Source organism: Homo sapiens, chromosome 10, assembly GCF_000001405.40.
Source record: "Homo sapiens chromosome 10, GRCh38.p14 Primary Assembly".
Taxonomy (NCBI): domain Eukaryota; kingdom Metazoa; phylum Chordata; class Mammalia; order Primates; family Hominidae; genus Homo; species Homo sapiens.
In genome coordinates, this window is record NC_000010.11 from 18512616 (window position 1) to 18527799 (window position 15184).

The following is a 15184-nucleotide window of genomic DNA, read 5'->3' on the forward strand; positions in this document are numbered from 1 at the left end:
TAGGCCTAAATACATCTTTATTAATCAAAATAGGAAACACTACAATCAACACATTTTTGCCAAGGAGAAATAAGTGTGTTTATTCCTGTAGCATAAAACTCCATGCTTTGGGATTCGGCAAACTCTTGAAAAGCACTTTCTGCATCCTGCTGGTTGTGGAAGAATTTTCTCTGCAAAAAGTTGTCAAGATGCTTGAAGAAATGGTAGTTGGTTGGCAAGAGGTCATGTGAATATGATGGATGAGGCAAAACTTCGTAGCCCAATTCATTCAACTTTTGAAGCGCCGGTTGTGTGATGTGCAGCCAGGCGTTGTCACGGAGAAGAACTGGGCCCTTTTTGTTGACCGACGCCGGCTGCAGGTGTTGCAGTTTTCGCTGCATCTCATCGATCTGCTGAGCATACTTCTCAGATGTGATGTTTTCGCTGGGATTCAGAAAGCTATAGTGGATCACACCGGCAGCAGCCCACCAAACAGTGACCATAACCTTTTTTTTTTTTTTTTTTTTGGTGCAAGTTTGGCTTTGGAGCTTCTCAGTCCAACAGCTGAGCTGGTTGTCAGTGGTTGTCATATAAAATCCAATTTTCGTCCCACGTCACAATCCGACTGAGAAATGGTTCATTGTTGTTGCACAGAATAAGAGAAGATGCTTCCAAACAACAATTTATTTTTGCTTGGCTCATGAGGCACCTACTTATTGAGTTTTTTCACCTTTCCGATTTGCTTCAAATGTAGAAAGACCATAGAATGGTCAATGTTGAATTCTTCAGCAACTTCTCGTGTAGTTGTAAGAGAATCAGCTTTGATTATTGTTCTTGAGTAGTCGCTGTCAACTTCCAATGGTCAGCCACTATGCTCCTCATCTTCAAGTCCCTCGTCTCCTTTGCAAAGCTTCGTGAACCACCACCGCACTGTACGTTCATTAGCAGTTCCTGGGCCAAATGCATTGTTGATATTGCAAGTTGTCTCCACTGCTTTACGACCCATTTTGAACTCGAATAAGAAAGTCACTCAAATTCGCTTTTTGTCTGACATCATTTCCATAGTCTAAAATAAACATAAACAGCAAGTAATAAGTCATTAGCAAAAACGCATAAAGCGAGAAATGCGCATTAAAATGATATATAACATAACCACATTTATTTAAGAATGTATTCCAATATCAAATGGCAAATTCCAACAGTGCAAAAACCGCAATTACTTTTGCATTCACCTATAATAAAGGTTTTCAAAGTAGTTGTTTGTTATCTCAAAGCTGGTTTAAGATATTGTAATGAAGTCAAATGTTCTGTACTGCACTTTTATACAGTTGATACAGAGAAAATCAACATTATATTTGAAACTACAGATTTAAAATGTTTCTCTGAAAATATTCAAGACGTCTAGCATGAAACTGATTCATTCAAGCAAACAGATTATAAGTGTATCTTTCAGTTTCATTAGATTTGATTACCTTGCATTCTTAATGTGCCTTACCTTTAAATTTAATTTTCTTGCGTACTGTGTTGAGCACTCATGATAGTTTTTTTTACTATGGTTAGTTTTATTTGCTTTCATTTTATTTTCTTTATAACCTATTTTTCCTCTCCTGTCCACCTGATTTTTGAATTGTCTGTATATAGCTATAGACATAGATGCTACTGGCTTAGATGCAGAAGAAAATGATATTCCAGCAAACCACCGCTCCCCTAAACCCAGTGCAAACAGTGTAACGTCACCCCACTCCAAAGAGAAAAGAATGCCCTTCTTTAAGAAGGTAACATTAACTTCCAAGCTCCCATTGTCCACCTGCTCAACTGCACTGCGTCACATTTCTAGTCCTGTTGACTGTCTGCGTCCTTTGATAAGCCAATAACGTGCATGCTCTGTTATTTGTTTCTTTTCCATGCTGCTGTAGCTAAGCAGAAGCAGAAATCGGTAAGTTTACATTGACATAAGCTGTGTTTATCCTGCCACTGGCATCATTAGCATTAATTCCCACAGTTGTATTAAATACAATCATTTCTGTCCCAAGCAAAGAACCTATCAACAGCTAATTGAGTTCATGCATTTCAAACCAACTAAATTCAGGGAGTGACCTGTTAAAACACCATTACAGTACTTATCCTTTTTGATGGAATAATATCTACCACCAAGGGAATTTGTTTCAACATTCAGGGATGTCAAACACTGACAGCTCCACATAATGCACCTAAATTGTGCATGCTTATTCTATCTCTTTCTTTTATCCAGAAATTTAACTTATGATCAAACATATTAAAGCAGTTATTAAATTCTGACTTATGATATCCAGATACATAGCTTGTACTAAAAAAAAAAGTATTCAAGTTTTAATTTAGTCAGTATTTAAACTTCTAATCCACTAGGTGCAAAATCTGCAGATGAACAAGACCAGTGGAAAACTGCAGGCTTGTTTTGGCGGTTTACTGTGAGTTTTTCCTATTGTCATATATAAATATTCTCCCGATGTTCTTGCCTTCTCCATCAGTCAGATTTTACCATCTCACCCTTTGGACAGTGCAGCCAGTGGTCATGCGTAGAGCCTTTGCCATTGGCCATCCAAGATGCTACACAGCGAGGCTCCTTGTCCCCTAAATGGAAACTATAGGGTATTCCTGAGCTCTCCTTACTTCAGACAAAGCCTTTTCCTCACCCATTTTGTAGCTTTAAAGCATTATTTTTTAAGGACCACTAACCTCCCCCCAAATTTCCCTTTTTTTCCCCTCTTTTACCCATCAGTTTCCACAGCTACCATGCTGTCTTTTAGAATCATACTAATGTCGCCAAGTCTGGCAAAACCATGGATATATTCTCACACGCAGATGTGATGTCAAATCTGTCTATCCTCTGCCCCCAAACTCTCCACATAATGAACACTTTTCCTCTGCAAACATGTATTTTGGTTTGTGGAGGAACTCAAGTCATTAATGAGGTGTCAGATACAGAACTGTAAAGTTGGCTTTTTTTGAATCAATTATGATTATTTTAATAAGGGAAAACTTCAGCACTCTGGGCAAAAATTGCAACACTTGGATTTTTGTGTTAACATAGCCTCAGCTTGATGTTCACCCACAACAGTGGGCCCATTTCTGGGGTCCGATCTTCTTGTTACAGCTAAAGCTTGCAGCCAAGTGACTAACAGTGTCTATCATTCAGAAGCTTAGAAAATCGGCATCGCTAAGACATTTGGGCCTTGACGGAGCAGGAATGTGAGCTAAAACCCTGTTTGTCAAGATAGGTTTGTGAAGTTTGCTTACCTTTAAATTCTAAAACTTTAAAAACTTTTATCACAATTTTTTCACTAAATAATTTGAGCAGGCAGGGCGCAATGGCTCACACCTGTAATCCCAGCCCTTTAGGAGGCTGAGGCAGGTGCATCACCTGTGGTCAGGAGTTTTGAGACCAGCCTGGCCAACATGGTGAAACCTCATCTCTGCTAAAAATACAAAAAATTAGCCTGGCATGGTGGCAGGCACCTGTAATCCCAGCTACTTGGGAGGCTGTGGCAGAAGAATTGCTTAAACCCGGAAGGCGGAGATTGCAGTGAGCCGAGACCATGCCACTGCACTCCGGCCTGGGCAACAGAGCTAGATAACTCTGTCTCAAAAAAAAGAAAAAAAAAATCAAGCTAAATGGGGTTAACAGGGAAGAGTAGATAAAAATGATGGCGTCATTCTTCATAGGGCACAAAGCACCAATATTCCATCAAATAAGGTAATTTCTGTAGCTACCCTATTGATTAAGAAGCTGATTGATTACCAGCAACGGGTGACCCTTTGCTAGTTGGCAGTTACAGATCGAAGGAACCAAAGACCTATCAAACACTGGGCCACTTCAGAATTAAAGTCTTGAGATAAAATTTCTTGGTAGCTGTTACTAAAATGCAGGAAATTTACATTCATAATTTCAACGGTGGAAAAGGTGTTCTTACACCGCATAGTTATCAGGACTTGGCTTCTAAACGTTTTCAGTATGATCCCAGGTGGTATAAATGAAATAGTTTAAGAAATATGCTTATGATGCCTTCGGCACTGGTATTCATTCTTCTTATGTTATTGATAATGTGGTTAACATCAATGTAGAATTCAAAAACAAAACAACAGCCTGAGATTCAATGAGAAGATCGTTTTCTATGTTTTAGGTTGCTTTTAGAGTGGTGCTTGTGTGGTACGTGTGCTGTCACTGTATTATGTTTGTCTTGTTTTTTTTTTTTCTGTTCAAAACTGTATTCTACCTTGATTGTGTCAATTAAAATTAATTCTGAATGCTAGGTGAAATTTTAGGCAGTGAAATTTGACAGCACAGTCATGGTAATATTTTTCTTCCCTCTGATTATATCGTCTGTGACTACGGGTAAAATCTCAGATGGAAGCTTTTGAATTTGAAATGCTTTTTAATTCTCCCCTGAGGCAATGTGAATTCAAATGAAGCCAGAAAAGTTTGTAATGGGCAATTTTAAGCAACAATAAAATGTTCTTGAGTGACGGGCAGATGCAAAAATGACATTCATATCTGCACATCAGTGTACTGAATTCTTAAAATCATTTACAGAACATTTTTCTGTTGGTGTGTGTGATTCTCAAGTTATATTTTTTGACACTCCTTAGCCAGAAAGATTCATATAGCAATGATTTGCTTATCGCAGTGTCTAAGGCCATATCACTCTTATGCATTTTTTTAAAAAGTCATTTTTGGGTCAATTTAGCATTTTATGCTATCAAAAGAGCCAATTTTAATATAAACCAATTTGCTGTTACCTAATTTTTGGAAAGATGTTATTTTACCATTTTATTTGAAGCAATTAACCTGAAAAGTGTTGACAGTTTTAGAAATTGCTACAAAATTTAGCTCCTCCCCTCTTATTAAAAAGAAATAATTTACTGCAGAAAGATGTCATTAGTTATCTGACAGAAAACTACTTTTGAGAATCATATTAGATATGCACATTGATAATGAACCTTTTGAGACCACAATAGCATGGTTGAATATATTATTATACATTAATCACCTTCCCTCGAAGACACATAAACCTTACCTTTGAAGTACCAAGGTATAGAAACCAAAAAATTCAATAGCATTAATCACTAAGCTGTGAGCAGGGATCATGATTACTGTTTACTAAAATAAGCATGCATGTTCATTTAAACTCTCACAATAATATAGAATTTTGACAGTAGTGAGAGTTACAATATTTTGAGATTAGGTAAAAAGTATTGGTAGTGAGAGTTATAATATTTTGAAATGAGGTTTTACACAGGTAAGACAAAAACCTAAGATGCAAAGGTAATGCAATCTTTCTTTCCTCTGTAATTAACCATGTTAGGTCTAATCACTACAACTCTTTAGAAAATTCAAATGCAGCCGAAAAGCAATATTAACTTCTAGTCAAGCCTAAAGCACCTATCTTGCATGAGGCATGTTTCTCTTTGTTCTGTCAACTAGTTTTTGTTCAAAAGCAGCATCTCTTGCTTTAGGAACGAATAGGTCTGTAGCATTTCTTGAGATGAGCAAGAAGACTGTAGACAACAGTAACTTGAAACTTCAGGAAAATGAACCCACCAATCTTTGACTGGGTTTATGTAGAAAAGAGGCAAGTGGGGAAAATAAAATGTCTGGAAAGCCAGTGCCTCATATTATGGAGTTCAGAAAGAGTACCTTATACACAAAATATTTATGTTCTACCTGCCTGTGAAACGTCTAAAAGCCTCTCCTCTCTCTGCAGACAGAGCACACTCCTCCGTATGATGTGGTACCTTCCATGCGACCAGTGGTCCTAGTGGGCCCTTCTCTGAAGGGCTACGAGGTGGGTAGCAGCCTTCCACAGGAAGCTTAACTTGCATGCTGAACTTCTTTGTGATGCTGCCTCCTACTCCCGACCCTCTCTCTGAATTTTACAGCTTAAGGAGCCAACTTTAGAGCTTAGAGAGCTCACAGCAGCAAAGCCTGTTGTTCTGCAAACTGGTATACACTGCTTCGTCCTTTTTCTGTTTTGTTTACCTGGCTGTTGCTTTGAAGATTTCTGCTAGCTGCAGTGTACTCAGTCCAGGAAATAGTGTCAAATGGAGACCGACTGAAACCACTTGCAATGTTATTTGTCACTAAAACATCATGATAAGTTCAGTTTAATTGTCATTGCATCAGAACTCAGAAGCAGAAAAATGCGGCAACCTCATATTGCCACTCTTTCCAGATGCAAAGCTCAGGTTTTCAAGCATTCCTAAGAGAAGTAAAATTGTTTTATCATCGTTAGTAATTTTTTTTGGTCATATCTTAATTTATTGCTTGCTCAATTGCAGGTCACAGATATGATGCAAAAAGCGCTGTTTGATTTTTTAAAACACAGATTTGAAGGGCGGTGAGTATTTCAGCATACTGGGTTTTGTGGATTTTGTCTTAAAGATGGCAAAACGCTGGTGGGACATGCGTGTGATTCCAAGAGAAAATGGCCCTCTGATGTCTATATGATGACAGGAAACAAGTTTCACTCAATTTAATCTGATTCAATCAATATTTATCATATTTGCTTGGTACATCTTTAACCCCTGATGTCTAGTTCCTGTACCTACATCCATAAGCTGACCTTGGGCAGGACACCACTGGCCAGTCTCACCCTCAATTCATGGTCAACTGGCCCTCTATTGCTGCCCAGGCATCGCACTAAATATCCCTCTTCCATTCACTTTTCCACTCTTCTAAAAGACTTCTGTGCCATCTCCCCCTCCTTAATCCTCTGATAACCCCTTCTCATCTCACGCTCCCCCAGTGAACTTGCTTCCGTGTCATTGAGAAAATAGAGGCAAACAGAGAACATCCAGGCATTTCTACAACCCCGCCTGTGGAGTTGCATGTTTGCCTGCATGCTCTGCTTTATCTCCAATGACTATGTTCCCAGCAAGGGCCAACCCACCATGTGGGCACTAGATCTCATTCCCCATCCCCTCTCTGCTAGAAGTATCCATACAGAGCCGTAATCATCCTTTGCTCTCTCCTCATGAGTATTTCCTGTTCTAATGGAAACTCCATCACCATGTAAAAATGTTAATTCCTATCACATTGACCTCATATTGCTCTAGGTGTCTCATTTTTTTTTCTTTTCTTTACAGGAAGATTCCTTGAAAGAATTGAGTGTACTGGCTTTCCTTCCACTTTCTTCAGCCTACCCCAGTTATGTTTTCACCCACACCACTCAGCTAAACTAGTCATGTCAAGATCACCCATGACCTTCACATTGCTAAATCCAGGGATAAATTTTCAGCCCTAATCTTACTTGACCATGAGCAGTAGTTGACATGGTGGATTATTCCATCCTCTTTGAAATACTTTGCTTGGTTTCTGGAACCACACTTTTCTGGTTTTCCTTCTATCACACTGACTGCTCCTTTGTCTCCTTTGCTGATACTTCCTCATCAACTGGAAATCTTGGACAGCCCAGGGCTAAGCTCTATGATGTCTTTTACCTACATTTCTTTAGTGATTTCATTCAGCATCAGATTTTTAAATTCCATTCCTTTGCCAGTCTTTCCTCTAAATTCTAGACCCATGTATACAATTGCCTATTCATTATCACTACTAAGATGTCTAATGGACTTTTCAAATGTAACCTCCCCCAAAACTTACTCCTCCCATGGTCTTCCCTATCTCAATTAATAGCTTCTTCGTCTTTCAGTCCCGAGACCCTTCAGCCCAGATCATTTTCCTTGACTGTTCTTTCTCTCTTATATTTCACATGCAAATGCTGTTGTCTTTATCTTCAAAATATATTCAGAATCGAAGCCCTTCTCACACATCCTCTGCCACCATTTTGGTCTGAGACATCTTCATCTCTTCCCTGGATTGGTGCAACAGCCTCCCACCTTGTCTCCTTGCTTCTGTGGTTGTTCCCTTAAAGCCTGTGCTCAGGTTAGCTGCTGCATGACCCTGTTAAGATGTGAGCTAGTGCCCACCACTCCTTTACTCAAAACCATCCAGTGACTTCTTTTTTTCCTCTGAATGGAAACCAAAGTCCTACAGTGGCCTACATGACCTCCTATGGTCTATTCTTCCACACGTCCTTACCTAGATTTTCTCTTGCTGCTCTTCCCTCGCTCATTCTCACCCTGCCGTACTTACTCCCTTGCTGTTCTTTGAGTGTTCCAGACAGATTACACAATCACCTCAGGGCTTTGGCACTTTGCAGTTCCTTCTGCTAGGAACACTTTTCCCTCAGATATTCTCCTTGGTATACGTGTGTACATGTATGCACACATACACATGCACACATTTGTTCTGTGTCTCTCCTTTCCCTCTGTTTTCTAGTGCTCTTTTATGTATTTCCAGTACTATTTTTGTTTATTGTCATTCTCCCATAATTAGACGATAAACTCCATGAGGGCAGGGTTTGAGAATGTTTTGTGAACTGTTGTATTCTCAGTGCCTGGAGCAGTACTCAACATGAGCAGTGGCCAGATGAATTTTGAATGAACGTCTGCTGCATACTCTCTGCTAGAGAAATGCGGAGATGGTGAAGCCAGTCTCTGCCTATGAACAGCTCTCATGGAAACCATAAATTGAAACCTGTAGCAGTAACACTGCATATAAGTAAAAGGGCAACTTGGTTATATGCATGCACAAGGTGCAGGTAGCATAAAGGGAGGCGTAATTAACACCAACTTCAGGACATCCACACCTGGAAGAATTTTTAAATGGTGCCTAACGTTTGACCAAATGGATTACAGGGAAGAGAAGGGTATGTTCAGCAGATGGTATATAGTGTGTGAAGGCTTTGAGGTATGACACAGCATTATGTGTAAGGCAACTCACACCCACATCTTAAAGGACATGGGCAAGGAGTGACTGGTAACAAATCCAAGGGTCATATCTAGTGTGTCACGCCAATGGGCTTGGACTTAATCCTTTCTTTCTCCTCCTCTTCCCCCGGTCACTATTCAACTTGCCTCAGTAAGTATTTATTGAGTATATTCTATGTGCCAGGCATTGTGAGGAGCAAAAATAGACAAGGGCCTTGGCTTTGTGGGGCTTAAAGTCTATTGAAAGGCAGTCTTGAATCAAATAATTAATGGGTGCCATCATTGAATGTTAAGCCAGCTCCTGAAGCATCAAAGACATGACTAGAGTCCAAAATGGAAACCTCAGAGTTTAAGAGTAGGTTATTACAGGGGACCTGGAAGATACAGGGCTAGTGTATATTTCTGTATTTTTAACCAGATAAATGCAGTGCTTCTCTTCTCCACATTCCTTTCCTCCTCCCATCCTAACAATGCAACTACAATAGATCAGGAGTCCCAAATCCCCGGGTCACAGATCAGTACTGGTCCATGGCCTGCTAGGGGCCACACAGCAGACGGTGAGTGGCAGGGGAGTGTGCAAAGCTTCATCTGTATTTACAGTCACTCCTCATCACTCACACATTATTGCCTGAGCTCAGCCTCTTGTCAGATCAGCAGCGGCATTAGATTCTCATAGGAGCACAAACTCTACTGTGAACTCTGCATGCGAGGGATCTAGGTTACATGCTCCTTAGGACAGTCTAATGCCTGGTGTTCTTTCACTGTCTCCCATCAACCCCATAAAGGACCATCTAGTTGCAGGAAAACAAGCTCAGGGATCCCACTGATTCTACATTATGGTGAGTTGTATAATCACTTCATTATATATTCCAGTGTAATAATAATAGAAAGAAAGTACACAATAAATGTAATGTGCCTGAATCATCTCAAAACCATCTCCCCACTCCTACCAAACCGGTCCACGGAAAAGTTGTCTTTAATGAAACTGGTCCCTGGTGCCAAAAAGGTTGGGGACTGCTGCAATAGATAGTATTTGTTGGTTTCAGGATTCTTTTAGATTTCTTACTATAGTACTTTCTTTCTAGACCACACCTACTACTACAACCATTTCTAATTTATATTGACTTTTGGCAGGGGAGGCAAGGGTAGGAAGGAAAGTTTTATAGGAGGACAAGTCTTTTTAGTAAGTGATCAAGCAGGCTGGGCTTGGTGGCTCCTGCCTGTAATCCCAGCACTTTGGGAGGCCGAGGCGGGTGGATAATGAGGTCAAGTGTTCGAGACCGGCTTCGCCAACATGGTGAAACCTCGTCTCTACTAAAGATAAGAAAATTAGCTGGGCATGTTGGCGGGTGCCTGCAGTCCCAGCTACTCGAAAAGCTGAGGCAGGAGAATTGCTTGAACCCGGGAGGCAGACGTTGCAGTGAGCCGAGATCGTGCCACTGCCCTCCAGCCTGGGAAACAGAGTGAGACTCTGTCTCAAAAAAAAAAAAAAAAAAAAAAAAAAAAAAAAAAAAGTGATCAGGCAAAGAACTGAAAGGAGAGAGAATGAGGAAAACAAAAACTATTATAAGTTTCAAGGTATGAAAAGACTTTATAATCAAGGTCTTCTAACCAAATATTCCTAATTAGATTTTTTTAATTTTCCATATCTTTAAGAAATATTTTTCAGTTTGTGACAGGAAATAGACCCTTTAGCTTGGACCAAGGCTACTAGGCACTGGCCAAGTATAAAAGGCATAGCTCTACTCTGCTCCATTTAGCTTGTTTCTTTATCCTTGGCTCTGTCATTTATCACAATTTGGAATTGTCAACATGAGCCTGAACACTAAAAAAAATTCTGCTAACAAAGGCACTGTGTTTTCCATGCCTGAGTCAACCCACTGCCCTTTCCTAAATGCCAAAGATGGGGAAATGGGATGGAATTTCCTGGATTACTACTTGTACTTAAACCTGAGTAAGTTTTGAATTTGGAAGACACATTCCAGCCAGAGAGGGTGGATTTTGGACCCATGTTCGAGTGTATCAGCCACCCAGATTGGTTTTATTTAAGAAACAGATAAACAAAATATCTTAAAGTATCTGTTATTTCTAGCCAGAAGTAACTTTCATATGGTTTAATTAATAGACCTGCCTTGGCTCATCTTGACTTACAGAGCTGGGGTTCTATATTCTAGCCCTGTTCTCCCCAGTTAACAGTCCTCAGAGGAAGAAACGAGTCCATAAGGCAGAATTTAAAAGCTGTGTACAAATTTAACATTTTTACCCATGGCAAGACATCTAGAGTAACTGAATTATTGACTGTCTTTGCTTTTGGCAAGGCAAGACAGCAATAGAGGATGGAAATTCAACAAAAGTATCAGGTGTGTATATACATATGACATTCTAAAAGGGAAAAATGAATTATTCCTTAATCATCTATTAAATAAGCTAAGTTTATTTTTTAAAAACGTTTAAGCCCAAGAGGAGAAAATATGAAAGGAAATGTTAGTTATGCGAAAGGTTCTAGGTAGTCAAGAATTCCTTTTTCTTTTCTGAAACCCACTTAAATTCATTTGCAGCAGCCCTAGGGGGTTGTCAGAATCACATTCTGGTTAAGTAGTGTCAGTGTGTCAGATCAAAGAAGAAATAAATCATCCTCCTCCTCCTCCTGTTGTGTGCAATAAAGTAGCCCATTCAAAACTGGATTCACAGTAACCAACTGTGTCATGTAAACAAAGCAATCTTCAGATTCACCTTGTAGGATGGTGACAGGTAAATTAACAAGGAAGTTGAGAACAAGAAGGAAAGCTACCTGGGATAAATTCACGGTTTTTTTTTTTTGTTTTTTTGTTTTGTTTTGTTTCCTTCAGTGACTTTCAAAACGTCAGCAATCAGCCCTGAAGTGTTTGGAATGCATACTGAATTGCTACAGGGATAAATATACCATTGCCAGAATCTTCTGTAGGACAGTCTTACTAGAAATCAGTAATCCTGAGGCTGAGCACAGTGGCTGTCACCTGTAATCCCAGCACTTTGGGAGGCTGAGGCAGGCAGATCACTTGAGGCCAGGAGTTTGAGACCAGCCTGGCCAACATGGTGATACCTGTTTCTACTAAAAGTACAAAAATTAGCTGGGCACAATGGTGGGCACCTGTAATCCCAGCTACTCAGGAGGCTGAGGCAGGAGAAGCGCCTGAACCCAGGAGGCGGAGATTGCAGTAAGCCAAGATCACACCATTGCATTCTAGCCTGGGTGACAGAGCAAGACTCTATCTTAAAAAAAAAAAAAAAAAAAAATTGAGCAAATAAAAAGTTGTTTATCTCATGGAAACCACGAGGAAAATACACAAGAAAAAGTATAGTAGGCTGGGTGCAGCAGTTCACACCTGTAATCCCAGCACTTTAGGAGGCTAAGGGAGGAGGACTGCTTGAGCTCAGAAGTTTCAGACCAGCCTGGGCAACATAATGAGGCCCTGTTTCTACTAAAAAAAAAAAAAAAAAATTAGCTAGGTGTGGTGGCATGCACCTGTAGTCCCAGCTACTTGGGAGGCTGAGCCAGGGGGATCACTTGAGCCTGGGAGGTTGAGGCTGCAGTGAGCTATGATTACTACACCCTTGCACTCCAGCCTGGGTGACAGTGAGATGCTGTCTAAAAAAAAAAAAAAAAAAAACACATTATATGACATAGTTCATTGACTATTATTTACATAGTTTCAATAAATATTAAATATGGAGCCAGCCAAAATTAATTTGTCTATTTGAATCCCTCTGGGACATTCTAGCCTGTTGCAGTGTAGATCTTTCTTTCTGTGCTGGGTGTCATTCTGGAACATTCCGTGTTATATGCTTGGGGATTCCTTTCACCTTTGTTTTGGGTTGAAGCTCCTGTTTCCCAGATCCCTTGATTTCTTTCAAGCTTTACTGTCATTTTAGTCAAAAACCTTCTCATTTCCCTAGGAAGGGTATATACATGTTTTTTTCAATAGCCTGAATGTTTACAAACCTTTCTGTTTAATTGCTAGTTTAAATGCTTATGGAATTCTGATTGAAATAGTTTTCCCTCCAAATTTTGAAGGCTTTTTGCTTCATTACCTTGTGGCTTCCATTGTTGCTTTGAGAAGTACAAAGCATTCTAGTGCTTTGATTCTAGACCCTTTGGGACCTGTCTTTTTCCTCTGAAAGCTTATGGGTTTCTCTTTGTCCCCAGTGTTATGAAATTCATAAAAATATGTCTTGGTGTGGGTATTTCAACCCGTGTGCCGGACCCTTTCAATTCAGAAAATCAGATCCTTAATTCTGGAATTAATTCTTTATTTTCTTTCCTCTGTCTTCTTTATTATCTTTTTCTGAACTCCTGTAATTTGGAATTTGAACCTCTTGGGTTATGTCTACTTTTCTTACTTTTCTTCTCCTATCTTCCAACTCTTTTTTGTTTTACCCTTTGGAAATGTTACATTTCTTTTAACCTTTCTTTTGCTTTTTTTCTATTTCTATTATCATGTTACTTCCAAAAGCTCTTATTCTAAGTCTTTAAATAGAAATTTGTTCTAGTCTCATAGATAAAACCATCTTTTAGCTTTTAACTGTGAATAATTGTCATAATTGATTTTTCTGTTTGTTTTGCTCTCTCATGAGGTTTTCTGAAGATGCCTGACAAACTGTCCTGTGCTCAAATTTTAAAATAAGGCATAAAATAATTAATCAGAGGTTCTGTGCTCATAGGCGGAGCTTGTCAACTTTGTGTTTCTGTGTATGGCAATCTTGCTAGATAATTTACACAGGAAACCTCCAATATCATTATCTTTGGGTCCTTACAATTTGGCAGTCAGATTCCCCAGAGAAGAATCTTCCATTCTGACCCCTGGGGATATAAATATAAGCCTGGCTACCAAAACTGTACAATGAGAAGAAAGGCTGAAGACTCAACATTCAGAATCCTTTCTTTTCCATCCAGTATTCCCTGCTCCTGTTCTGTCTAGGGTCCCCTGGTCAGAGGCCCTCTTGTATTGCCTGCAAGATAACAAATGTAGGGTCTTGTACCACACAGGAAAAGAACTGTCACCTGGCTATTTGATATTGTGAGGGGGCAGTGGAGGGCTGTAACTGAAACAGACTTTTGAACCAAACTTTTCCTTTTCGCCCTAACTTCATTCTCTACCTTCTTTAGAAATATTGTGAGCCTTCAATTTTGCTTCACAGCTTTTTCCTACTGCTGACTTGAATATTCAGCTTTCTGCAGTCTAAGTCATTTGCTATTTCCAGTTCCCAAATTTTGTTGCTCTCATTTCTACCTTATCTAAAATGATACTCCCAATTCAATATTGTCTCTCATAATACCCTGTATGTTCTTTCCACAACAATCATCATCTTTAATTATTTTCCTTTATTATTTATCTCTGCCACTAGACCATTAGCTATCTGAGGGAAGACTGGTTCTTATTTATTTTTCATGCCTATCACAGCAATGAACTATGGCACAGAGACTAGGAATATAGGGTCAGGAGTCTGGGTTCAAATCCCAGCTCTCCCACTTAGTTACATACATACCCTTGGATAAAAAATCTCTCTGTGAGTCTCATTTTTCATCAGCAACAGTGGGATAATAGTAAACGTTTCTCCTAGAGCTTTTTGGATCATTTAGTAATTCAAATAAAGTGCTCAGTACTTATCTGACACTTGTAAGCAACAAGTAAGTGCAACGTAAGGCAGGTGCAGGATAGGGCCGGGCGCGGTGGCTCACACCTATAATCCCAGCACTTTGGAAGGCCGAGGGAGGCGGATCACTTGAGGCCAGGAATTCAAGACCAGCTTCCATAGTGAAACCCCCTCTGTACTGAAAATACAAAAATTAGCCGGGTGTGGTGGCACACACCTGTAGTCCCAGCTACTCCAGAGGCTGAGGCAGGAGAATCACTTGAACCTGAAAGGTGGAGATTGCAGTGAGCCGAGAACGCACCACTGCATTGCAGCCTGGGCAGCCTGGGCGAGACTCTGTCTCAAAACAAACAAAAAACAAAGTAAGGCAGGTGCAAGATAAAAATGAATAAGTAAAAAGAAAAAAAATGAATAAGTAAGTATCCTAACACATATGGTTTGAAAATATGGTTGCTATATATATTTCATACTTAGATGAATTTGGGGCATACACTTCTATCCCCTTTGATTAGACCAATAACCTTAAGGTCTTCTGTGACTTTTTCCTCCAACAGGATATCCATCACAAGGGTCACCGCTGACATCTCGCTTGCCAAACGCTCGGTATTAAACAATCCCAGTAAGCACGCAATAATAGAAAGATCCAACACAAGGTCAAGCTTAGGTAAGTCTGTGCAATGAGCTTAAGCTTTTTAAACTCTCCTCTCCCGATGTTGATGATGAGAAGACCTAACAAGATGATAATTCCATGTGTCACAGAGTATAG

At 39.8% G+C, this 15184-nt stretch overlaps 1 protein-coding gene and 1 long non-coding RNA gene across 17 annotated transcripts in view; one reads left to right on the plus strand and one right to left on the minus strand.

The window, feature by feature from the left end:
- CACNB2 (calcium voltage-gated channel auxiliary subunit beta 2) overlaps window positions 1-15184 on the plus strand; it is a 403134-nt gene that overhangs the window by 372192 nt on the left and 15758 nt on the right. For 6 of the 15 annotated variants that reach the window (NM_201571.4, NM_201596.3, NM_000724.4 and 3 more), the window contains 4 exons: window positions 1621-1754; window positions 5721-5801; window positions 6295-6353; window positions 14973-15082. In NM_201571.4, coding sequence (NP_963865.2) covers window positions 1621-1754; window positions 5721-5801; window positions 6295-6353; window positions 14973-15082 — 384 coding nt within the window. Of the gene's footprint in view, window positions 1-1620; window positions 1755-1895; window positions 1916-2364; window positions 2427-5720; window positions 5802-6294; window positions 6354-14972; window positions 15083-15184 lie in introns of those variants that run through there. The other 9 variants (NM_001167945.2, NM_201593.3, NM_001330060.2 and 6 more) reach the window with 4 other exon arrangements.
- Window positions 1-15184, minus strand: part of CACNB2-AS1 (CACNB2 antisense RNA 1) — a 26661-nt gene continuing 11477 nt past the window's right edge. Inside the window, exons 2-3 of one of the 2 annotated variants that reach the window (XR_007062076.1) lie at window positions 1787-6215; window positions 1-1045 (exon numbers count right to left, since the gene is read on the minus strand). This is a non-coding gene — a long non-coding RNA (CACNB2 antisense RNA 1). Of the gene's footprint in view, window positions 1046-1786; window positions 14571-15184 lie in introns of those variants that run through there. The other variant, XR_007062075.1, reaches the window with a different exon arrangement.